Genomic DNA, 25,786 nt, shown 5'->3' on the forward strand with positions numbered 1-25,786 from the left:
ATCCGCTTTCTCCTGAACAGGTGTCAGGAGACCAAGCTTTGACCTCCAGCTCCCTGGCCTCCGGGCGCGGGCCCTGGGCTGATCTGGCGGTGGACGTGCAGGGCAGCGGGCCCGCGCCCACCAGCTGTGGCAAGTTTCTAGTAAGAGAGGGATAGAGACAGGCGGAGACCGCTGGGGAGTTTCCCGGTGCTCAGCCATCGCATAGGGGGGAACGGACCCTTTTGTGGGCCCTCGGGTCCCCCCGTGGTCCCCGCTGGCGCGCTCGTCCTCTGCCACCCCCAGATCTCTGCGCACTCCCCACTCCTGGGCGTTCGCACTGCCCCCCGGCGCACTCTCGCCGCCCCGGGGTCCGAAGCACCGCGCACTCCACCCCGCGACGCGCGCATCCCTCGACCCTCGCGCGTCCACACCGCCGCTGCGCCTCGCGCCCCCGCACCCCCGCAACCCCACACCACGCCGGCCGGGCGGGGCCGGATGCGCAGACGTGCAGCACGTGCGCTGCGCAGCGATTGGCAGCGCCGCCCCCACGCCGCCCCGCCAGGGAAAGGGTGTCCCGTGCCCTGCCGCGGCTGCTGGTCCCGCGGGCGGGGGCTGTCGGGGCGCGCGGGCCGGGCCGTGGGGGTCGCCGCCCGAAGTGACCGGGGAACAATGACAGCCCGATGGGGAAGGGCGGCGGCTTCCCTAGAGGGCCGGTTCTCTGGCTCGGAGCTGGGGGGCGTGGGGGCCGTAGGTGTTGCTTCTGCGGAATGGAAATACTTTCTGTGAGTGGTGCGCACGTGTTTCCACTTTATTTGGTTGTCAACTGGGGCCCAGTGCACTTAAACCCAGCGTTATTCGGGACCGAGCCAGGAGATCACTGCACCCTTCAATCTGCGGGTGGGGGGAGGAGTTAGGAAGGGGACTGAGTGACAAAAGTGACAGAGGCGCAGCTCATGTGCGTGACCGGGGGAGTGATGCTCAGTTCTGGGTGGGGGACCAGAAAGATGTCCACTGCGGGACTGGGCGATGAAGGGGCGGATTTGAGTGGCGGCTACTGTTTCCCGGCCTGGGACGGCTGCCGGGCGGGCAGGATCTGCAGGCGCGCGGCCGGGACGCGCAGGGAGCGCGCAGGGAGCGCGCAGGGAGCAGTGGGGCTTCCCGGGCCGCTTCGGGGAGGTGGGCAGGAAAGGGCACGCAGCCCTAAGTGACTCTCGGCTGAGACTGCCTCTCCTCATCCCAGCAGTAGCCAGCCAATGAAAAATAGGCTCAGGGGGTTCCCGAGCCAATGGAAGCCCGCGGGCCGTGAGGACTTGCCACTAGAAACGTTTATGGTGTCCCGGCCCGGAGACTTCTGTGTGTTTGTTAGGCGGGGCGGGGGGCGTCTTCCCAGCAGCCCAGGACAGGTGTGTGCCCAGGCGGATTAGAGCGCCTGCTGTTGGTAAGGCCCCTGCCGTGGAGGGGGAAGGGAGGACAGGGGGAGGGCAGAGGTGAGGAATCTAGGAGCTGGCGAACGGTTTCTCCCGCTTTCTGTGTCCTGCGTCACTTTCCCTTCTGTAAACGGTGGTCTTCCCTTTGTGTCGTGTTTGATCGTTTCTAAATTGCTTTCCCATGCATTACTTTACCCAGCCATCACTGTAACCCACAAGATGGGTTTGATTACTCATTTTACCAGCAGGGGAAGTGAGGCTCAGGTAAGTTAAATCCTAGGCACATGGTGGCACAGCTGCTTAGTACAGGTTTGGGACTGGAACTCAGGTGCCCCGACGACAAATCCAGGGCTCTTTAACTACATCAAAGGAAGGAAACCAGGTCTGTTTTATGATCCTGGTGCCAAGGGCACACCCAGTGATTAAACTGAAATCCAGAAGGACCGGGTGAGTTTTATTTCCCCTTCAGTCATGCTCTTTCAGGTTGTCCCTTTGCAACACAGGTTTGCTCTGCTATTACACGCCATGCCTTAAGATTAAGAGAGTTCACTGACTGCCAGAAAAGCCAGAAGTAAAAAAACAGAATGTGTGTAGGGGCGGGCGGGTTACCCACTGTGCATTTCCTCCTTACCCACACCCTCAGGCCAACTCGAGACCCGTGGTCCTCTCTCATGTTGGTCCCCCACCTGCAGATACTGTTTCCTGTTCCATGGACTGGGCTCGGCCTGCCTAAAATAGGCTGCACCCAAGAAGCTTCTACCTCCACTACTGCCATTATCCCAGCCATGAGGAAATAAACAACTTCCTCCCCGTCCCCCCGCGGCTACATTTATTTATTTATTTATTTATTTATTTAATTTGAGTCTTGCTCTGTCACCCAGGCTGGAGTGTTGTAATCTTGGCTCACTGCAACCTCCTTCTCCCGGGTTCAAGCGATTCTCCTGCCTCAGGCTTCCAAGTAGCTGGGACTACAGGCGCCTGCCACCACACCAGGCTAATTTTTGTATGTTTAGTAGAGACGGGGTTTCACTATGTTGGCCAGGCTGGTCTCGAACTCCTGACCTCAGGTGATCCTCCCACCTCGGCCTCCCAACGTGCTGGGTTTACAGGCATGAACCACTGAGCCCGGCCAAGGCTACAACATTTTTAATAGGAGTGTTTCTCCTAGAGGATTTGTCAGTCGGGGCCTTGCTGTGTCTCTGCTATGGTGCCTGATGAAGTCTCTGGATCTTTTCAGCAAAGCAGATGATGCTCAGTGGTTCCCAGGGCTGAAAGCCCATCACAGTCATCTGTGAAGGCGTTTAAAAATACACATCACCGAGCGCATCTCTGGATTGGGATTCAGCAGGTCCAGGGCGCGTGTTATGTTTTTTGTTTTAAATACTCAAGTGATTTAGATGACTGGTCAGGTTTGAAACCACAGATATAAAATGACTTCCATCTGAAAAGTCTGAAATAACTCAAAGCTGAAATTGGAGGCTTTTTGGTCAGATGGGAACCTGTCATTCAGAGGTCCATCATGCCTAAGAATGTGAAGAATGACAACTCTTCATAAGAGGGTCCAAAAGGGAACGAAAACTCTTTGTGGTAGGAATATCCTATGTTGAGTAATCTGGGACCTTAGGGGAATATAGGGTTAGGGAACTGATACTGGGTGTGAACTGATTTTATTTTCACTAAAATAAAACTAAGAAATCGGCACTCAAAGTCAGTGGCTTACATCCTACACAACTTGTATTCCTATCAATGGATGCTATTTGCTTCCTTTTCATTTATCAGCCCTTGCTTTCTAGACCTGAGCTGTCCAGTACATTAGCCACTAGCCACATGGGGCCGTTGAGCACTTGAAGTCTGGCTAGTCCAAATTGAGATGTGTTGTATGTGTCAAACAAACATTGGACTTCAAAGACTCAGTAAGGAAAAAAATGTAATCATTAATACTTTCAACATTGATTATGTATTAAAGTATTTTAGATCTATTGGGTTAAGTCAAATAGATTATTACAATTAATTTCAGCTTTTTCTCTCCTTCCTTCCTTCCCTCCCTCCCTCCTTTCTTTCTCTTTCCTTCTCTTCCCTTCTCTTCTCTTTTCTTTCTTTTCTTTCTTCATCTCACTGTCTCCCAGGCTGAAGTACAGTGACACAATCATAGCTCACTACAGCCAGGAATTCCTGGGCTCCAGTAATCTTCCCACCTCAGGCTCCTGAACAGTTAGGACTACAGGCACACCCCACCGTCCCCTGGCTAATTTTGTTTTAGAGGTGGGGGTCTCATTATGTTGCCCAGGGTGGCCTCAAACTCCTGGCCTCAAGCAGTCCTCCCACCTCACCCTCCTTAATAGCTGGGACTATAGGCGTGAGCCACCACGCCCCAGCTTTCTACTTTTATTGCGTTAATATGCCTAGTAGGACATTTTTAATTACATATTTGGCTTGTGGAGGCTGGGAACATTCTTGATCTGGATGATAGAGGTATATGTTTGTGTGTGTGGTGTTGAAATTCATCAGACTGTGTCCTTAAGTTTTGTGTACTTTACTGCTCTATGTAAGTAAAAGTCAGTTTAAAAATTAAACAATACGGCCGGGCGCGGTGGCTCACGCCTGTAATCCCAGCACTTTGGGAGGCCGAGGCGGGCGGATCACGAGGTCAGGAGATCGAGACCACGGTGAAACCCCGTCTCTACTAAAAATACAAAAAATTAGCCGGGCGCAGTGGCGGGCGCCTGTAGTCCCAGCTACTCGGGAGGCTGAGGCAGGAGAATGGCCTGAACCCGGAAGGCGGAGCTTGCAGTGAGCGGAGATCGCGCCACAGCATTCCCGCCTGGGCGACAGAACGAGACTCCGTCCCAAAAAAAAAAAAAAAAAAAAAAAATTAAACAATACAGGCCAGATGCAGTGGGCTCATGCCTGTAATCCCAGCACTTTGGGAGGCCAAGGCAGGTGGATCACCTGAGGTCAGGAGTTTGAGACCAGCCTAGCCAACATGGTGAAACCCCGTCTCTACTAAAAATACAAAATTAGCTGGGCGTGGTGGCACGTGCCTGTAATCCCAGCTACTCGGAAGGCTGAGGCAGGAGAATCGCTTGAACCCAGGAGGTGGAGGCTGCCGTGAGCCAAGATCACACCATTGCACTCCAGCCTGGGCAAAAAGAGTGAAACTCTGTCTCAAAACAAATAAACAAGAAACCCCAGCTGGTGTAAACACAGAATGGAGTTTATTGGCTTGGGAACTAAAACGTCCAAAAGAAAATCACGCTGCAGCCAGGGTATGGTGGGGACCTGGATCCTTTTTTCTGTGATTCTCTGGGCACTCCCTCCATGGGTCACTGAATCCTCAGGCTGACCTCCCAGCCATGAGCAAAATGGCTGCAGCAATCCCTGGCCCCACATGCACATCCCACCCCATCCAGGAAGAGAGTTTCTTGCCTCCCATGCTCAAAAAAAACACTGGATTTCACCTAACCAATCATTTAGCCCAGCGGAATCTCACGTGCTCAATGGTGCATCCCTGAAATGTGCTGGTGAGCAGCACCCAGTCACTGCTAAAAGAACCCTGATTAGGCTTAAGCAGCTAAGGCCCCATCCTATACAAATCTCGAGGCTGCCATATATTTGGGAGATATGGATGGGTTCTGTGAAGTTGACAACCAGCAGTGTCTACTAGATAATCCAGGCAGTTGACAACCAGCAGTCTCTGCTAGATAATCCAACCAGTTGACAACCAGCAGTCTCTGCTAGATAATCCAACCGGTTGACGACCAGCAGTGTCTGCTAGATAATCCAACCAAGTTGACAACCCGCAATGTCTGCTAGATAACCCTACCATTGCAAGTCACTACCTACACCAGGGCTCAGCAAACTTTTTCTGTAAGGGACTAGTCGATAATGAGGCTTCATGTGCCTCCTAAGGGTTGTTTTGTTGAATTTGTTTAACAACCCTTTTAAAAATATAAAAACTATTCTTAACTCATGGGGCTTACAAAAACAGGCCAAGGGCTAGATTGGCCTAAAGATCATAGTTTGCCAACCACTGATCTGGATCGTTATGATACTTGTGATGTCTACATTGACCTTGTTAACTTGTTTCCCCTGACTATAATCAAAGCTCTTTGAGAGCGGGAACCAGGTCTGTCTTATCCACCACTGTCTTCTCCACACCTACAACAGTGTTGGCACTTTGGGAGGCCTAGGCAGGAGAATCACTTGAGCTCAGGAGTTCGAGACCAGCCTGGGCAACGTAGCAAGACCTCATCTCTACTAAAAATATAAAAGGTGTGGTGGTGTGTGCCTGCAGTCCAAGCTACTCAGGAGGCTGAGGTGGGAGGATCACTTGATTCTATGAGATTGAGGCTGCAGTGGGCCGTGATCATGCCACTGCACTCCAGCCTGGATGACAGAGCAAGATCCTGTCTCAAAAAAAACAAAAACAAAAATACAGTGCCAGGCACATGGTAGATGCCCAATAAATATTCACTGGATGAATGACTATGAAAACTTTATTCTAGAGCATATCAGGACCCAGTGCCTAGCTCTGACCTGGGTTTCTCTGTCTGTAGGACACAGCTGCCCCCATAGTGACCGACGCAGGAACGGACAGGGCTGCTGCTGGTCCACACAGTACCTTTGTGCAAATCAGAAAAAAAGGTTACTCCTGCTGGCTGCTGTAGCCCAGCACCTAGGAGCACAGTGAGTGGGTGAGGGCTGAATTTCAGCCCCTGCCTTCCCTCTTGGAGGGTGTTTTTGGGTGGGATACCTGCCCAGTTGCGTGTGCTGGCTCTGGGATAGAGTGCAGAGTTGGAGTTCTAAGACCTCACCTGCTTTTATTGTTCCCACACCTCTCTGAAAAATGTTTCTGATAGCACTCTGCCTACAGCTTTTACCCTTTTCTCTCACCAACTCCCAGTCCCTTCTCTTTCCAGTTGTTTTCAACACAATGACTGTGATTTGCATATATTAAACTGAAATTCTCATTTTGTGCTTGGAAATTCATCCAAGCAGAGTAGAATGTGGCATAAGAGAGACCAGCCTGGACAGCATAGCAAGACCTCATCTCTACTAAAAATATACAAAGTTAGTCAGATGGAGAGGGATTGTGGTTGGAGAGGGATTTCTGTCCTGTGTGCTTACTACACTTGAAGAAAGACCATGAGAAACTCAAAAAAGAAGCAACCAAATCGTCAAGGAAATAGTGAAGTTGCCGTAAAAACGCAAAGTCATGTGTTAAGGGTTCTTCCATTTGGGAAGATAAAGGCTAAGAAGGAAGAACATCTGTTTAATCATGGATGGTTAGGGTGCTCTTGAACTCATTCACTAAATCCTGAAAGAGAACCGGGGAGGGGGTGCTCTGCTTAAAGCTTGAGAGAGTTATATTTAGGAATAATCAAAGAAAATGTTCCTTCGCTTGGTGGGCGGTAGGGTCATGGAACTCATTATCCCAAGCAGGAGTCAAGCTGGAAATAAAAAGTCTTGGGGTACTTAGCTGTTGACAGACCCCTAATGACTTATGAAGAGGAACGAAGAGGCCTTGGGATATGGGCAATGTTCTTTGAAGTTGCTGACGAGGAGCATGACTGGTTGTCCATAGTGTGTCCCTGCATGCCCGCCTCAGAGACAGTTCTGAGCTGGGCAAGACGAGGAGCCAAGGCGGCCCCCACAACCCCTGGCAATCTGGAAGTTTGCCTTATTACTGGGGGACGGGGTAGGGGCCTCGTACAGGAATGCTTGGCTTTCCCAACTCAGTTTTCTGTAGGCCAGCTACCATCTATTGCTGGGAATTCGAGGGTCATCAAAACAAGGAAATGATGTTTGTGGATGTTTTACCTAAATATCTACACTATCCATGGGGACCTCGCCTGTTGTCATTATAGGAGCTGACATTTAGTGATTATGATTATGTACTACGTGCTATTATATGCATTTATTTAATGTTTATAGCAATCCTGTAAGGTAGGTGCTATTATTTCATCATCCTGTTTGACAAATGGGGAAACTGAGGCACAGAGCAGTAGCTCTTTCAAAGTCTAACAGGCAATAAATGATATAGGACTCAAACGAAGGCCGGAAGCCTCTGGAGTACATAATGGACTATTTCTCCATTAGACTGGGGTTATAGCCACTCCTATGGTGCTACCAGAGAGGACACAACTCCCCTCCAGCCATGTGGTACCAGGAAGGAGTGCAGGCCCATTGTGGCCATATCCACTTTTTCAAGAAAAGCCATAAGGATCAATACTGGGTGGATACAACAAATCTAGCTAAACACAGACTGAGGTCGCCCAGCTCTGATCGTTGCCGTACCCACACCACCCTGCAGCGACACATCTTATGGGCAGGGTGCTGTTGTCCACGTCCATGAAAACATGAGTTACCAGGCATAGGCTCAGAGCAGCAGGGAGCCTGGCTGGACACACACGGTAAAAAGGCTGCCAGGCCGGGGTGCCTGTGTCTAGAAGTTGGTCTCCTGCCTTTCAGTGGTGCTTAGTGATCTCTCTAGGCCTCTGGCCAGTCCAGGATTCTATGACTGTCATCGCAGAGAGCAGCAGCAAAGGCTGTAAGGTGTGGACAGATGTTTGACGTCTGGGAAGATGGGCTCTGTGGCATATAACCAGATTGTCCCAGTTGGCACATAAGCCACACAAAATGTGCAGAACCCAAGGCTATACCTTCAATTTCGTGTGTGCTGAGAAAACTGGCAGTGCAAGGGACCTGTGACATCCCGTGGAGACTTCATTCAGGTTGGGCGCTGCACCCCAACCACACAGGGAGGGCTGAGGGCTTTTTCTAGTTTGCACAAAGGCGCCATCTGTGAGCTAAGCTGCACATCATGGGTGTGCGTCCACCCGGAGGAGGGACCTTTTCCAACTCACATCAGGTTTCCTTGTGTCCCCAGGGGCCCTGAAGCAGTCTGGGGTGCTGCTGACCTTCCCCCACACCCCCACTGCTTTCTATTTATATCTTCCCATCTTTTCTACCATTCAGAGTGCAGGTGGGATTTAGGGGACCCAGGAATGCCAGAATTCTGCCCTAGCTCTTCCACCCCTTCCTTCCTGTGGGGTTCCTGGGGATTGGCACACACAGAGGATAAAGGCAAATGGCACAGAGCCTGACACTCCACTCGGGGCAGGGCTCTGGGCTGCATGGCACAGCTGAGGCTCGGAACTCCAGGATCCAGAGGTTCTCCCTTCCCTGGCCATGCTTGGGCCCAACCTGCCAGTGCTCATGTGGGGAGGATGAGGGAGGCCAGAAGGACAGGCTCCAAGAGGACCTTGGTTCGCCGTCCTTGTTCTGTCCCCAGAGCTGGAGGAGCCAGTGAGAAGAGCAAGATCCATCCACCCCCTGAGAGTAGGATGTGGGAGGGAAGGCCACACCTTGGCACAGACCTCATCACACAGGGTCCCCGCCCCCTTATACAGGTGGCTGAAGCAGAGTCCTGGATCCTGGCCAAAGGGATTGGCAGCAGCTCCCTAGAGGGAAGCCAGCCAGGGGCGGGCTTCTTGTCCCCTACGGGAACATGGTCTCATTTGATCTTCACAGCCTCCCTGTTTTACAGATGGGGAAACTGAACTGCATGCTAAACAAGGATGAGGAATTGGGTCTAGGTCACGCAGGTAGTAAGCAGAGCTGGGCTTTGATGCTGTGGCCGACTCTGCAGCCTCTGCCCAGGTTCTTCTTTGGGATACAACTGCTGACAGCTCACCGCCAGTCTGTTCCCAGGAATAGCCCTGCCTGAAGGGGGCTGCCTGGCCCAAGGGTGGCTCCTTCCTTGCGGGGCAGCCTGAATTCAACCGAACCATGTAGGGGTGAGATATGGGGAGTGGGGTGCAAAAACCCAGCCCCTTGCCTCCACTCAGGACAACTCCGAAGGGCTTTGTAACTCGTCATGGGATGGAGGGCCGGGCTTTGGTGGCAAGTGCATCACATTTCACCTTCTCCCTTGGCCCAGCCCTGCTCTCCTCTTACAGTTGCTGTGCTGAGCACATGCCTGGATCAGCCTCTGCGGGCATCTTGCCTATGCCATCTGCACTCCCCGTCCTTAGGAAGTGCTGCCTCACCTCCTTCCTAGGACCCAGGACAAATAAACCAAAGATCCAAAAAGTAGAGGGTGAGGCAGCCCAGAGGTTTACAACAGCAGTAAGTGACTGCCACCCCTAGGCTGGAGGGAGAGAAGGAGGGGGCGGGGTGCCTGTGTCTAGAAGTTGGTCTTCTGCATTTCAGCAGTGCTTAGTGATCTCTCTAGGCCCCTAGCCAGTCCAGGATTCTATGAATGGGGACAGAAGGAGGGGTCGGGCTTCCCTGCACCCAGGGATCACCCAGCAAAGCCAGAGCTATGGTGGGTTTGTCAAGGGGGGAAATGCAGCCCTTGATGGAAACACTCCTGAAGTTGGGGGCCCAGAGTGACACCCTGACTTCTCTCTTCCTTTCTGCTTGACTTTTCTGATGATAGACTACCTAACAATACGAGGTGTTGTATTGTTAAACTTTGCATACCAAGGTCTTAATATGCACATATATTTGGGTAATATTAAAGATTTCGTCAGCTTGGGGTCCATAATAATTTTTTTTTTTTTGAGACGGAGTCTCGCTCTGTTGCCCAGGCTGGAGTGCAATGGCATGATCTTCAGCTCACTGCAACCTCTGCCTCCCGGGTTCAAGCAATTCTCCTGCCTCAGCCTCCCAAGTAGCTGGGATTACAGGCGCCCACCACCACACCCGGCTGATTTTTGTATTTTTAGTAGGGATGGGGTTTCACCATGTTGGCCAGGCTGGTCTTGAATGCCTGACCTCAGGTGATCCACCTGCCTCGCTGTACTAAAATGCTGGGATGACAGGCCTGAGCCACCGCAATAATTTTTTCTTTTAAAAGAGAAACACTGCTGTAGGATGATATGCCAGAGGTGTGTGGCAAAGCACCGTCCACTCCAGCCCAGACACCACAGCCTTAAGGTCCAATTCCTTAAGTTTCCATTCCTTTGATCCTTTGGGATATGGGGGTGGGGAGCTGAAAACAGCCCTTAGGGCCAGAGGATGTGGGAGCACAGGAAGAGGTCCTAGAAGTTTCCTTGTCCACATTCCTCACTTTACTGAGGGGAAACCCCAGACCCAGAGAGCTCCAAGCTTGGACAACCCCTTTTATGGAGGGTGAACTGTAGTGTTTTGGGGAATCATCACTACTGAGGAATGGAGTCAGCGCAGGGCTTTTATTTTTATTTATTTAATTAATTTATTTATTTAGAGACAGAGTTTCCCTCTTGTTGCCCAGGCTGGAGTGCAATGGTGTGATCTCGGCTCACTGCAGCCTCCACCTCCCGGGTTCAAGCAATGCTCCTGCCTCAGCCTCCCAAGTGGCTGGGATTACAGGCACCCGCCACCATGCCCAGCTAATTTTGTATTTTTAGTAGAGACAGGGTTTCTACTAAACCTGTCTACTAGTAGAGACAGGGTTTCGGTTACACCTAGGCTAATAACCATTGCGCTCTGGATGGGCTGACCCTCACCGTGTTGGTCAGTCTGATCTCAAACTCCCGATCTCAGGAGATCCGCCCACCTTGGCCTCCCAAAGTGCTGGGATTACAGGCGTGAGCCACCGCGCTCAGCCAACTGCAGGGCTTTTAAATCTCAGCCTAGATGAGGGCTTGTATGTGCACGTGTGTGTTTGGTATGTGTGCATGTACATGGTTCGTGTGTACATGCATGTGGCATGTGTGCACATGTGTATGGTATGTGTGCGCCTGTGGGTGCACATGTATGTACGTGTATGGTGTGCATGCATGTGTGTGTGCATGTATGTAGATGTGTGCATGTGTGCAGTCTCCATTTTGGAAGTTCACATCTTTTGAATTTTTTTTTTTTTTTTTTGAGAGAGTGTCGCCCAGGCTGGGCTGGAGTGCAGTGGCGTGATCTCGACTTCACTGCAATCTCCACCTCCTGGGTTCAAGCGATTCTCCTGCCTCAGCCTCTCAAGTAGCTGGGATTACAGGTGCCTGCCACCACACCGGGCTAATTTTTTATATTTTTGGTAGAGAAGGGGTTTCACCATGTTGGCCAGGCTGATCTCGAACTCCTGACCTCAAGTGATCCGCTCACCTTGGCCTCCCAAAGTGCTGACATTACAGGCTGACACCATGCCCCGGCCCCTTCTTTTGAATTTTGAGTGACCACAGGCATTGATGATAGAATGTGAATACATTTGATTTGTATTCATATGGAGGGAAAGTGCCTCTGACCTGTCCCCATGGAAGGAAAATAAGATTGGCCTGGAGATACTTACCTTGTGGGGGAGATAACAGGATCACAGAAATGATTTTCCCAGGGCAAGCCTCATCCATTGCACTCTGGATGGGCTGACCCTCACAATTTCCCCAAACGTGGGACCTCAACTGCATAATTTGTGGTAATGGGGGACTGTGTTTATGCTTTCCCCTACTAATGAAGGACAAGAAAAAGGAGACTGTCCTGGAGAGATGAGGACTGAGAAACCCAACCCAGCCCCTGGCTCCAAGGAGTCCCGGCCCAGCCCTGGAGACAGCCCTTATCAGCTGCCATCCCAGCTTCCTGTTTTTCAGTGGGCTGGGGACTGGGGCTGAAGGAACATCTGCTTCTGTTTATTCTTCCCCTTTATCTTAATGGGTTCCCTGAGATGGCTCCCTGGGCCACCTCTCACCACTGCTCTGCGTACTCAGGTAGGTAGTGCTCCCTGCCCTGGCTAAGACCCAGGAAGGGAAGGGGGAAGCATGGAGAGGCCAGAGACTTGGTGCCCTGGGATTAAAGCTAGTTACTAAACAGGTCTGGGACTTAAAACTGGACCCTAAAGTCAATGTAGAGAAGGGGAAAAAAGAATACAAGGCAAAAGACTGTCCTCCTAAGAGTGAAAGCAGGAAATGGGCAGGTTGCTGGGGGCAATCTTAGCTGCTAAGAGAAATATAATTACTTTTCAATTTCGGTTACACCTAGGCTAATAACCACAACTGGAAATTCTTGTTGGGAGAAGGAAGTTTTTTCTCATTAAGAGATAATAGAAAGTCATTCACCCTTGAACCTAGAACAGTCAACTTCAAACTGAAAGAACTTGACTCAGCTAGGGCCTCTGCTAGCCTGCAGTGCTTATCTGCACCTCTGTGCAGATTAGAAAAAGGTGCTCCTCTGTCCAAGCAGTCACAGCCCCCAGTTTGGCAAGTGTCCCCCTCCCTATCCCCTTCCCCAGCACCCTATGACAACGACAACTTGGCATAGTTACATTATCATAGCAGCTTTCTCTTCTCCCCTACTAACACTTTCATTACCCTGGACAGCTTAAGCTCTGAATGGACTGTCCCAGAAGCACAGAAAAGACTTGTAGGTGAGAAGCTGGAAGGGCATTCAACATTCCCTTGGTCCAAAGTCCCTGCTCCAATTCACTTCATGATAAGGCTTCTGGCTGAGTTGTAAGAAAGCTTTCTCCTCATATTCTGGGTCGATCAAGATCATTCTAAACTATGATTACTGGCAATTTAGAATTAATGAGAAAGGACAGAGCAAGACTCTGTCTCAAAAAAAAAAAAAAAAAAAAAAGGCAGACGCGGTGGCTCACATCTGTAATCCTAGCACTTTGAGAGGCCAAGGCAGGCAGATCACCTGAGGTCAGGAGTTCAAGACCAGCCTGGCTAACATGGCGAAACCCCATCTCTACTAAAACTACAAAAATTAGCTGGGCGTGGTGGCTCATGCTACTCAGGAGGCTGAGACAGGAGAATCGCTTGAACCAAGGAGGCAGAGATTGCAGTGAGCTGAGATCTTCCCACTGCACTCCAGCCTGGGCAACAGAGTGAGACTCTATCTCAAAAAAAAAAAAAAAAAAAAGGGAATTAATGAGAAAGTTTCCAGATTGTACTCAAGGATTTCTTTCCCTAAATTTTGCTTAATACCTGTTACCTTAAAGCATGGTTTTTGTTTTTAAAAATGTAGTATTATCAAGTTCAATGCTGCTTAAGGAGTTTTCTTCTTTTGTAGCCAAATTGTCAATAGATTATGGTGGTTCCAAGCTTGGGCTTTGTTATCAGAATGATTAGAGTTCCAATTGCTAGCTCCTCCTCTTGCCAGCTGAGAGGACCTGGGCAGTTTACTTAACTTCTCCACACCCTGATTTCCTCATCTATAAAATAGGGATAAGTAACATAACCTACTGTAAAGAATTAATGTGAATTAAATGAGGATGCATGGAAACGTGGCCCAGTGCACAGCACTTGATCAACAGTAGCTACTGTTAAGCTAATTTTAAATGGGTAAGGAATGTGATACCATTATTCTGTTTTCTTTCTTTTTTTTTTTTTTTTGAGACAGAGTCTTGCTCTGTCACCCAGGCTGGAGTGCAGTGGCACCATCTCAGCTCACCGCAACCTCCACCTCCTGGATTCAAACGATTCTCCATGCCTCAGCCTCCCAATTAGCTGGAACTACAGGCGCTGCCACCATGCCCGGCTAATTTTTGTATTTTTTTAGTAGCAATGGGATTTTGTCATGTTGGCCAGGCTGGTGGAATGTGATACCACTACTCTAGGTAATTGAGAGGATGACCATGTTTTCTGCCCCTTGGAAAAATGGTGGGTCCCCAATCTGGGGCAGGGAAAGTGAGCCTAGGACATCAAATTGTGCCAGAAGACAAAGAAGTGTTCCAAGACAGCAACCAGCTTGAAGGAAATTTTACTGGCCAAATTTAGTCAATCTGAACATCAAAATAAATACTCACTATAGTTGATAACACATTTTTTTTTTTTTGAGATGGAGTCTTGCTCTATCGCCCAAGCTGGAGTGCAGTGGCACGATCTCTGCTCGCTGCAACCTCCACTTCCCGGACTCAAGAGATTCTTCTGCCTCAACCTCCCAAGTAGCTGGGACTGCAGGCACGCGCCACCACGCCTGGCTAATTTTTGTATTTTTAGTAGAGATGGGGTTTCGCCATATTGGCCAGGCTTGTCTCAAACTCCTGACCGCCTCGGCCTCCCAAAGTGCTGGGATTACAGGCGTGAGCCACCATGCCCGGCCTGATTTTTAAAAATCAAGCCACAATTTTTAAAAATCTCTAGTGATCTTCAAAACAAGGAATAAAGGAAGGGAAATACCAGCTAATAAAACTGAAAGGAATGATAGAATTGGAAATCACTATTTGGCAACCCCCAATTAAATAAAGATTTTTGATGAAACCACTGGACAGAAGGTTATGGAAGAGCAAGATATTCACATCGGACTAAAGTATTACCTGCAGATGACTTGCAAATTACCAAAGGGAAAATTGCCCTTTGCAATGGAGACAGCTGGTGGTCATCACCTTACCAAAGTGATCAAACTCAGCCAGGCACAGTGGCTCATGCCTGTGATCCCACCACTTCTGGAGACTGAGACAGGAGGACTGCTTAAGGCCAGGAGTTCGAGACCAGCCTTGACAACATAGTGAGACTGTCTCTACCAAAAAATAAAAAATTAGCCAGGCATGAGTGGCACTTATCTGCAGTCCCAGCTACTAGGGAGGTTGAGGTGGGAGGATTGCTTGAGCCCAGGAGTTCAAGGCTGCAGTGAGCTATGATCATGCCACTGCACACCAGCCTAGGCAATAGAAAAAGACCCCATCTCCAAAAATAAAAATAACAACAACTAAGCATCGCTAATAGTGCAGCTATTATGCACTTATGCACTTTCTGATGTGATGTAATCTGAAATACTTAATACTACCAGCTATGAATTATTCCTGCCATATGTGATAAACATGAATCTGATCAAGCCTCATGACTTAATGGTGATAGAGGAACAAGTTTCACCAAAAGGATGAAAAGACAAATGCAAGGCCGGGCACGCTGGCTCACGCCTATAATCCCAGCACTTTGGGAGGCCGAGGCAGGTGGATCACCTGAGGTCGGGAGTTCAAGACCAGCCTGACCAACACAGAGAAACCCCGTCTCTACTTAAAATACAAAATTAGCCAGGCGTTGTGGTGTATGCCTGTAATGGCAGCTACTTGGGAGGCTGAGGCAGGAGAATCGCTTGAACCCAGGAGGCAGAGGTTGCAATGAGCCAAGATCACACCATTGCACTCCAGCCTGGGCAACAACAGCAAAACTCCATCTCAAAAAAAAGAAAAAAGAAAAAGAAAAGGAAAGGCGAGTGCACAGTGTGGAACGTACTATAAGACAACTAACCTGTAACAAAGGCTGTCTCCCTGACCAAACTTTAGTCAGACTCCTCTGAGCCTTCTTTTCAACTAGGCCTGGACCTTGGCCCCCATCTTGTCTTTGGTCTGCCCAGCCAGTCTTAGCAAAGAATCCTGCCAAGTCATCCCTCCACTCTTTGTATCTGATCAAGTACCTCACCCCGCTTCCTTGATGTCTAAGCCCTTAGCCTGTCTTTAGCAAGAATCCCTACGCTTGATGTCTCCCATTAGTAATTTCCCATCCACTGACCCCTCATCCTGCTCTTTGGCTGTGAATCCCCACTTGTCCTTGTACTTGGAGTTGAGCCAGATCGCGCACTCCCCTAGAGCAGCACTCCTATTGCAATAGTCTTGAATAAAGTCTTTCTTACTGTTTGAGAATAATTTTTTTCTTTAAAACCTGGACACATCAAGAAGTCATTTTTTAAGATGAATTCTTTTAGAATAAAAAAATTAGAGAGACATAATAATCAAATGCGTGTAAGATACTTTGATTGGATCCTGGATCAAAAAAAAAGGAAAAAAAAATCTATAAAAGATATTTTGAGAACAATTGGATATATTTGAGTATGGATTGGATATCATAAAATTATTGTTAATTTTCTTAGGTGTGCTAATGATATTGGTTATGGGGAGAATACGTGAGTCCCATTAAATGCCCACATTTAGGTAACACCTGTATTGAGGAGTTGTATTAGTTTCCTAGGGCTACGGTAATAAATTGCCACAAGCAGGATAGTTTGCAACACAGAAATTTGGTCTGTCACAATTCAAGTCCAAAATCAAGGGCTCGTGGGGCCATGCTCTGCCTGAAGGACTAGGGAGGAGTCTTCCTTGCCTCTTCCAGCCTCTGGTAGTTACTGGCAATCCTTGGCGTTCCTTGGTTGGTGACAACATAAACTTCAATCTCTGTCTCCACAGTCAGGTAGCCTTTTTCCCTGTGTGTCTCTCCGTGTCTTCAAATCTCTCTCTCCCTTATAAGGATGGCAGTTATTGGATGTAGGGCCCACTCTAATCCAGCATGACTTCATTTTGAGTACCTCTGCAAAGACCCTATTTACCACTAAGGTCACATTCAAGGTACCAGGGGCCAGGACGTCAACGTTTCTTTTATTGGGACACAGTGTAACCACAACGTGAATGAAGTGTCCTGATGTCTGAAATATACTTTCAAAGGTCTCGGTAAGAAATTCTGTAGACACAAAGAAGGAGAGGATAGAGAGAGAGGGAAAAAAACCTCAATGTAGTAAAATGTTAATTGTGGAATCTTTGTAGAAGGTATAGGAGTGGTTGCTGTATTCTTTCAACTTTTCTATAAGTTTGAATATTTTCAAAATAAAAGATTGAAGGAAAAGCATAGATTCCTGCTAATTCCCCCCTCCACAGCCCTGTTCTGTTTCCATATGTCTGGGGCAGGGCCCAAGAATATGTTTTTTTGTTTGTTTGTTTTTGAGACGGAGCCTCACTCTGTCACCCAGGCTAGGGTGCAGTGGCGCGATCTCGGCTCACTGCAACCTCCACCTCCCAGCTTGAAGCAACTCTCCTGCCTCAGCCTCCTAAATAGCTGGGATTACAGGTATGTGCCACCATACCTGGCTAATTTTTGTATTTTTAGTAGAGACAGGGTTTCACCATGTTGGTCAGGCTGGTTTCAAACTCCTGACCTCGTGATCTACCCACCTTGGCCTCCCAGTGTGCTGGGGTTACAGGCGTGAGCCACCAAGACTGCATCTCAAAAAAAAAAAAAAAAAAAAAAAAGTTTACTGAAGGAATGGACTCCACAGGATATCTAGATCTAAATGGAATCATTTTTCTCTGACAATAAAAGCTTTTTTGGTACATTTGTAAAGAGTGGCCCAGACAGGGAAAGAAAGAGCTCTGGCCTCCTGACAAGCTTGCTCAGATGGTCAAGCCTCATGCACTCGCCACCATCTGTAGAAGTACATCCTAGCCAGCTGTTCTGTTAACACATACTATAAAAGGCAAGGGCTCTGGGCTCTGCCATCAACTCAGTGTGGAGCCGCAGACACGTCTCCAAGGCCCTCTGTGGCTGCATTTCCTCCAATGGTTGTGAGCCACAGGGACTTGGTTACTAACAGTAGTTAAGATCCTGGGATTTGTAATATCTACTTTTATTTATTTTATTTTATTTTATTTTTTGAGACTGAGTCTCGCTCTGTCACCCAGGCTGGAGTGCAGTGGTGCGATCTTGGCTCACTGCAGCCTCTGTCTCCTGGGTTCAAGTGATTCTCATGCCTCAGCCTCCTGACTATCTGCGATTACAGGTGTTGCGCCACCACACCCAGTTAATTTTTTTTTGTATTTTAGTAGAGATGGGGTTTCACCATGTTGGCCAGGATGGTCTCAAACTCCTGACCTCAGGTGATCTGTCCACCTTGGCCTCTTAATGTGTTGGGATCACAGGTGTGAGCCACTGCGCCTGGCCGATCTACTTTTAAAAAATTATATTTGAGAAGATTTTAGATTATTCCAAAAATAATGTCACTTTAACTTATTTAGATATTCTTACTTGTGTAGGAGAGAAAAGGATGAGTTTACAGTGAGGAATTATGTGTAACCCTGGACTCCCAGGTGGGAGTAAGGGGCTTACATGATCATTGTCCTTCATTCAAAAGTGCAGAAAAAGGTGGGAATCGCTGCTCTGCAGTGTCTGATGGGGCATCATGTTTTTATTTACTCGTTTTTTTAGAGACCAAATTAGAGGCCTGGCACAGTGGCTCACACCTGTAATCCCAGAACTTTGAGAGGCTGAGGTGGACAGATCACTTGAGGCCAGAAGTTCGAGACCAGCCTGGCCAACAAGGCAAAACCCCATCTCTACAAAAAATTAAGAAATTAGTCAGTATGGTGGTTCATGTATGTAGTCCCAGCTACTCGGGAGGCTGGGGTGGGAAGATTGCTTAAGCCCAGGAGGTTGAGGCTGCAGTGAGCCATGATTGTGCCACTGCACTCCAGTCTGGGTGACAAAGCAAGACCCTGTCTCAAATAAATAAATAAATAAGATACTATAAGTAAAATGCCTACCGTGGTTTCTGGCATATTGTAAGTACTCAACAAATAATAGCCACTACTAGTTTAACTTCTTCCATAACTCAATAATGATCTTTCTTTAGTTACTGTTTTTATCAGATAACACATTTGCATTATTTGAAAAGTAAAATAATCTTTAAAATCTTAAAGCAAGCAATTCCTTCCCCACTATTCCCCCCCTTGATTTTCAGAAGCAGCCTCTTTTTAGCTTTCACCAGCTTCTCCAGTTTTCTCCGTTGCATTTATTATCTGTTGTCTTCCTTCTTTGGGAAACAAGGATTTAGCTATCATATATCTTCTCTTCCCCATCCTCCTAATTTGCTTGTGTTGCAATTTCTGGTTTAATCAGTAGCCAGTGTTTATTCTGACAATGCAGCCATTATTCACAGCTGAGCTGCGGAGTGTAACATGATTATATTTCCTATCTGGTACAAACTTTTTCTTGTTTTCCCTGAAGATAAATATTGCCTTATTTTCTATTTGTTCAACTGTCTATGTACCTATTGCTAATTCTTCTCCAGACTCTACTGGAAATGTGAATCTTTGCTCACTGTATTTAGACATAGCAGGTTGTCCTGGTTTCATGTGTTTTTCTAGGAGGCATCCTCAAGTCCTCCATCCCTATCCTCCTGCTCCCAACTCTGCTCTCTTCCCATTTCCTGGGCTTCAAGGCTTCCTCTTTATTTATTCCTTCATTTTCATGGAATATATCATCCTACAGTTTCCTAAGAAAGGCTGCTTGGGCTGGGTGTGGTGGCTCCCACCTGTAATCCCAGCACTTTGGGAGGCTGAGGTGGGTGGATCACTTGAGGCCAAGAGTTCAAGACCAGCCTGTCCAACATGTCAAAACACTGTCTGTACTAAAAATACAAAACTTAGCTGGGTGTGGTGGTGCACACCTGTTATCCCAGCTACTTGGGAGGCTGAAGCACAAGAATTGCTTGAACCCGGGAGGTGGAGGTTGCAGTGAGCAGAGATTGCACCACTGCACTCCAGCCTGGGAGACAGAGCGAGACTCCATCTCAAATAAAAAATAAAATAAAAGAAGAAAGGCTGCTTGGGAGGTTAAAATTTTGAAAGCTTACATTTCTGAAAGTGTCTCTATTCTTCATTCACACTTGCATGTTAGCTTTGAATTCATCATATTCCAGCTTCTAGCGTTGTGCTTGAGAAGAGCAAAGCTATTGCCATTTCTGATCTGTAGTACATAACCTGCTATTTTTTTTTTTATCCTGGAAGCTTTTTAGATCTTATTCATAGTTGTTCTGAAATTTCACAATGTTGTGCCTTGGTAGGGGATTTTTTTTCCATTCATTGCCTTGGATACTCGGGTAGGCCCTTTCAATCTAGAAACATATGGTCTTCCATTTTAGAATTTTTTTTCTTGAATTACTGTTATTTTTTAAAACATTATTTCCTCCTTTCCATTTTCTGTATTCTCTCTTTATGGAACTCCAATTACTCAAATGTCAGACTTCCTAAATTGATGTAGAAGGTCTCTGATTTTCTAACTGTCTTTCTCCTATTTTCTGACCCTTTTTTCCTACTTTCTGTGATTTTTTTTTCAACTTTACCTTCTGACTTTTCTTTTTTCTTCTTTTCTTTTGAGACAGGGTCTCACTCTGTCACCCAAGCTGGAGTGCGGTGGTTTGATCATAGCTCACTGCAGCCTTAAACTTCTAGGCTAAAGCGATCCTCCTACCTTGGCCTCCCAAGTAGGTGGGACAACAGGCATGTGCCACCATGCCTGACAAATTTTTTATTTTTTGTAGTGACAGGGTCTCGCTATGTTGCCCAAGCTGGTCTCGAATTCCTAGGCTCAAGAGATCCTCCTGCCTCAGCCTTCCAAAGTGTTGGGATTACAGGCATGAGCCACCACACCTGACGTCTTGAATTTTTAGTTTCTACTATCACAGCTCAACCTTCCATGAATGCTTTTATTCACTGAATATTCAGTTTTAAGAAACAATATTGGCTGGGTGCGGTGGCTCACGCCTGTAATCCCAGCATTTTGGGAGGCTGAGGCTGGTGGATCACCTAAGGTCAGGAGTTCGAGACCAGCAGGGCCGACTGGCAAAATCCTGTCTCTACTAAAAATATAAAAATTAGCTGGGCGTGGTGGCACATACTTGTAATTCCAGCTACTCGGGAGGCTGAGGGAGGAAAATCCCTTGAACCCGGGAGGCGGAGGTTGCAGTGAGCCAAGATTGTACCACTGCACTCCAGCCTGGGTGACAGAGGAAGACTCCATCTCAAAACAAAACAGAACAAAACAAAGCAAAACAAAGAAAGATTTGCATGTATGATGGAGTGATTTTAGAATGGGGTGATCAGACAGGGGCCAGTCATTCTTGGGGGAATCCCCTATGATACATTTCCATGTCTCTTCTTTTGGTGGTCAGTTTCCTATGGGAGTTCTCTGAACTCCCTCCCCATAGTTATAAATGTGTCTGCCAGTGTCTAGGAGTCAAATATGAGGACAGCACGGGTTGGTACATTGACTTTCATTTCATCCCCCTTCTTTGATACTCATCTTCCACCTTCAGTTGTTCCTAAGTCCAAAGTTCCTCTAACTCAAACTCCCCATACAATAAGTGGTCCGTCTCTGATGAAGGCTGAGAGAAAGTAGTAGCTTGTTGCATAGGCTAAGGGAAGAACTGCAGGGATTAACTCTCATTTTTTTTTGAGATGGAGTCTCGCTCTGTGGCCCAGGCTGGAGTGCAGTGGCACCGTCTTAGCTTACTGCAACCTCTGCCTCCCAGGTTCAAATGATTCTCCTGCCTCAGCCTCCTGAGTAGCTGGGAATACAGGCATGCACCACCATGCCTGGCTAATTTTTGTATTTTTAGTAGAGAGGGGGTTTCACCATGTTGGCAAGGCTGGTCTCAAACTCCTGACCTCAAGTGATCTGCCCGCCTTGGCCTCCCAAAGTGCTGGGATTACAGGCGTGGGCCACCGTGCCCAGCCTTAACTATTGCTTAAGAAAACTTTTTATTTTTATTTTTTTCTTGCCCTGTTGCCTAGGCTGGAGTGCAGTGGACCGAGCATGACTCACTGCAGCCTCAACCTCCTGGGCTCAAGTGATCCTCCTGCCTCAGCCTACTGAGTAGCTGGGACCACAGGTGTGCATCACCAGCCCCTGGCTAATTTTTGTGTTTTTTGTAGAGATGGGGTCTTACTATGTTGCCCAGGTTGGAAGAAAACTTTTAATCAGTGCTCTAGTTTTCAGCCGCAGCCATGCCTTTTCAGAAGTATCTGGTACCTCCAATTCCTAAGCCTTTGGGGTGTTTCAGAGGCATGGATTGGCTTGTTTTCTTGGCTTCCCCATTTTGAGACCCTTTACTCTGGTGTGTGAGGTTCATTATCTCTCAAATTTCCAGCTTAAAAATCTTTTTGATCCTTCTCTTTGCTCTTACCTCTCTTATGGACTTATGCTTTTCAAAAAAAGTCTCTTGCCTCACATTTTAGTGGGGTTTTGGGAGGAGGCCCAGGAGTATGCACATGTTCAACCGGCTATGTTTAATGGGAAGTCCTCCGAGCCCACAGAGTTTTCAACTCTCGTTTTATTGAACTAGGCCTCCTCATATAAACCTATGTCCAGTTTTAAAATGGAAGTCAAGTAAAAATGTGATTTGATTCACATAGTTTTAAGAACAGCTTTTATTTATTTATGTATTTATTTTTTGAGATGGAGTCTGGCTCTTTCACTCAGGCTGGAGTGCAGTGGTGTGATCTCGGCTCACTGCAACCTCTGCCTCCTGGGTTCAAGCGATTCTCTTGCCTCAGCCTCCTGAGTAGCTGGGACATCAGGCGTGCACCATCATGCACAGCTAATTTTTGTATTTTTAGTAGAGACGGGGTTTCACCATGTTGGCCAGGCTGGTCTCGAACTCCTGACCTTGTGATCCACCTGCCTTGGCCTCCCAAAGTGCTGTGATTACAGGTGTGAGCCACCACGCCTGGCCTAAGAACAGCTTTTAGAGATGCTTTTGGCCTATGTGGCTAGATATGAATTCTCACTCTGAGTATAATTGTCTGACTGTCATGTGTTGACTGTGTACACACAGCTCAAACCCAGAGTCCAGCCTTGTCTCTTCTGATGAAATACCAGTGCCCACAAACAGAAGGTTCCCCTTCTCTCACCCATGAATAAACAGGAAGGTCTCTTGGAGCTGTGGTCTTGGGGCTGTAGCCCTGCCCCTAATTTCCTCAGACCCTTTACTGAGAACTGAGTCATTGCAACATCATGCTCAGCCAGCTGTCTCAGCACAAGAAAAAGCTTTGCTGTGGTATGAGGTTTTGTGGGCTGCAGACTACATCTAGGTCAGCAAATTAAACTCCATAGTGTGGTTACCAATTCCAGCTTCATCTAGCTTAAGGGCTGTCTGATTTCACCCTCTGGGCATTGGCTCTTCTGGTGTTTGGGATATAAGGCCCCTCTGTGGGTGTTTAAGGCACAATATTTCAGGCCTAAACCACCGAATGACACATGCCTAAACCCAGAATCCTGTATTCTCCACCAGGACTCCAGGGTATGTGAGGGTAACAATAGTCCAACCCTGCAGATAATGAGATTTGTGTGTGTGTTAGAACAAAGGGGAAAGGTGGGGATGTATTTCTTTGATGCTCAGTTTCATCTACCACTTGTATTTCTCTCCTGCCCTTCTTTGACCCTAACATGATCCAAACCCTTCTTTCTTGCTTCTCTTTTATGGAAGTTTTGAAGAATGGATGGTTACATAACAGATGGCCAGCTGGTCTACCTAGAAGGGCCTTACAAAGGACAGTGCCTCCGTGGGGAAGGCTCACCCTGGATCAGACGCCGGATTGCAGATTTACCATGAATGAAGCCCTTGGAGACTGAATCATGTTAAAAATTCAAAAACAACTCAGTAAATATTTATTTGAAGTCCTGCTGTTCTTCAAGGCCCTGGAATGCAGATATGAGAAGAGTCACTGCTGCCCAAGAGCTGACTGACTGTGGAGGAAGACCATGCTAGCAGGTGGCTACGTTTTCTACCACCTAGCACCTGCTCCCCCTTCTCCTGGTAATGGTATCTGCAAATAATCTCCTCAGTCTGTGTGCTTTCAGTGGAACTGAATCTACCCCTGGTTCAAGAGCTCAGGTACAGCCTCTGGCCTGGCTGCAGTGATTAGTTTAGAGATGGACTTGTAACCTCATCAAAGCCCGATATTGTTCAGGGTAACATACTAGATATATTTTGCTAGGATTGCCAATAATCATTTATTTAAGCTCCTTAGATGAGGTTTCCTGTCATTTGCAACTGAAAAAGCTCTGTGTAGCAGGTTGAATAGTGTTCACCCCCTGCCCAAAAAATACACTCACATCCACCCAGAACTTTGGAACTTTAGAATATGATCTTATTTATTTATTTATTTATTTGAGACAGAGACTCACTCTGTCGCCAGGCTAGAGTGCAGTGGCATGATCTCAGCTCACTGCAACCTCAGCCTCCCAAGAAGCTGGGACTACAGGTATGTGCCACCACGCCCAGCTAATTTTTGTATTTTTAGTAGAGACGGGGTTTCACCATGTTGGCCAGGATGGTCTATCTCTTGACCTCATGATCTGCCCACCTCAACCTCCCAAAGTGCTGGGATTACAGGTGTGAGCGACGGTGCCTGGCCTGATCTTATTTTTAAAAGAGCCTTTACAGATGTAATTAGTTAAGGATCTTGAGATGCAATCATTATGGATGTAAATTTAGGTGGGCCCTAAATCTAACAATTGGTGTCCTTATATGATGAGGAGATATCACAGACGCAAAGACACAGGGCATATGACCATGTGAAGAGGAAGGCAGAGGGTAGGGCGATGCTGCCGTAAGACAAGGATGCCTGGGCCACCAGAGGCTAGGAAGGGGCAAGGAAGGCCCTCCCCCTTAGAGCCTTCAGGGGGAGCATAGCTCTCCTGACACTTTGATTTCCAACTTCTAGCCTCCAGAATGGTGAGAGAGAATTTTCCACTGTTTTTAAGCCAACCAGCTTGTGACACTTGGTTAATGGCAGCCCTAGGAAACAAGTGCACTCTAACATGTGAAATCACTCAACAGATATTTATTGGTTCCTAATAATGTGTCTGAAAAGGACTTAGTATAAAATCCAAAGAAGAGGGACATGGAGGCTGTAGAGAGGTATTAGAGCTGGGACATTAGGAAGCCTAAAGAACCATCTGTCCCACTGTCCTGCACCCCGATGGGTGCCTCTGGAAGGGCCTGGAGAAACCATGGAATTTATGTTCTTTGGGCTCCCTTTTTGTCGGGTTAAGACAGGGACTCACTCTGTCAGCCAGGCTGGAGTGCAGTGGCGCAATCACGGCTCACTGCAGCCTCAATCTGCCAGGCTTAAGCAATCCTCCCATCTCAGCCTCCCAACTAGCTGGGACTATAGGTGCATGCCACCACGCCCAGCTAATTTTTGTATTTTTGTAGAGATAAGGTTTCATCATGTTGCCCAGGCTGGTCTTGAACTCCTGGGCTCAAGCCATCCGCCCACCTCGGCCCCTCGCAGGGCTCGGATTCCAGGCATGAATCCCCCCGCCCAGCCTCCCTGGGCTTTTTGCAGGTCATTCTCCTAATTTATGGATGTCCTTCCTCAGTAAGGACATGAGCTCTGCTTGATATAAATTGAAAATATTCGGCCGGGCACGATGGCTCATGCCTGTAATCCCAGCACTTTGTGAGGCCAAGGCGGGCGAATCACGAGGTCAGGAGTTCAAGACCAGCCTGACCAATATGGTGAAACCCCGTCTCTACTAAAAATACAAAAATTAGCCGGGCGTGGTGGTGCATGCCTGTAATCCCAGCTACTCGGGAGGCTGAGGAAGGAGAATCACTTGAACCTGGGAGGCAGAGGTTGCAGTGAGCCCAGATCACGCCACTGCACTCCAGCCTGGGTGACAGAGTGAGACTCCGTCTCAAAAAAAAAAAAAAAAAAGAAAGAAAATATTCCTCCCAGTTTGTTCTTTGACTTTGTTTATAGTGATTTTTGCCCTGCAGTTTTTTTTTTTTTTTTTTTGAGATGGAGTCTTGCTCTTGTTGCCCAGGCTGGAGCGCAATGGCATGATCTCAGCTCACTGCGACCCCTGACTCCCGGGTTCAAGCAATTTTCCTGCCTCAGCCTGTTGAGTAGC

At 47.8% G+C, this 25,786-nt stretch overlaps 1 long non-coding RNA gene and 1 pseudogene across 1 annotated transcript, besides 6 other annotated features; both read left to right on the forward strand.

Annotated features, from left to right (window-relative positions):
• Positions 329–488: a silencer, noted in NCBI's record as "silent region_18707". NCBI's record gives its function as "represses an Ori minimal core promoter by ATAC-STARR-seq in GM12878 lymphoblastoid cells {active_cell/tissue: GM12878}" and the evidence as "EXISTENCE:reporter gene assay evidence [ECO:0000049][PMID:35858748]".
• Positions 1,069–1,118: a silencer, noted in NCBI's record as "silent region_18708". NCBI's record gives its function as "represses an Ori minimal core promoter by ATAC-STARR-seq in GM12878 lymphoblastoid cells {active_cell/tissue: GM12878}" and the evidence as "EXISTENCE:reporter gene assay evidence [ECO:0000049][PMID:35858748]".
• Positions 1,169–1,218: a silencer, noted in NCBI's record as "silent region_18709". NCBI's record gives its function as "represses an Ori minimal core promoter by ATAC-STARR-seq in GM12878 lymphoblastoid cells {active_cell/tissue: GM12878}" and the evidence as "EXISTENCE:reporter gene assay evidence [ECO:0000049][PMID:35858748]".
• LOC107986854 (uncharacterized) lies at positions 1,282–24,005 on the forward strand. The gene is made up of 2 exons (XR_001745386.2): positions 1,282–1,417; positions 23,352–24,005. It is a non-coding gene; the product is annotated as an uncharacterized LOC107986854 (long non-coding RNA).
• On the forward strand, positions 11,666–11,828 carry RNU1-58P (RNA, U1 small nuclear 58, pseudogene; annotated as a pseudogene).
• Positions 13,225–13,519: a silencer, noted in NCBI's record as "tiled region #12666; HepG2 Repressive non-DNase unmatched - State 3:PromF". NCBI's record gives its function as "represses a minimal TATA promoter and a strong SV40 promoter by Sharpr-MPRA in HepG2 cells {active_cell/tissue: HepG2}" and the evidence as "EXISTENCE:reporter gene assay evidence [ECO:0000049][PMID:27701403]".
• Positions 22,580–22,629: an enhancer, noted in NCBI's record as "active region_26776". NCBI's record gives its function as "activates an Ori minimal core promoter by ATAC-STARR-seq in GM12878 lymphoblastoid cells {active_cell/tissue: GM12878}" and the evidence as "EXISTENCE:reporter gene assay evidence [ECO:0000049][PMID:35858748]".
• Positions 22,660–22,729: an enhancer, noted in NCBI's record as "active region_26777". NCBI's record gives its function as "activates an Ori minimal core promoter by ATAC-STARR-seq in GM12878 lymphoblastoid cells {active_cell/tissue: GM12878}" and the evidence as "EXISTENCE:reporter gene assay evidence [ECO:0000049][PMID:35858748]".
• Positions 24,006–25,786: the final 1,781 nt, after the last annotated feature.

The sequence above is a fragment of the Homo sapiens genome, chromosome 7 (genome assembly GCF_000001405.40).
Source record: "Homo sapiens chromosome 7, GRCh38.p14 Primary Assembly".
NCBI classification, from domain to species: domain Eukaryota; kingdom Metazoa; phylum Chordata; class Mammalia; order Primates; family Hominidae; genus Homo; species Homo sapiens.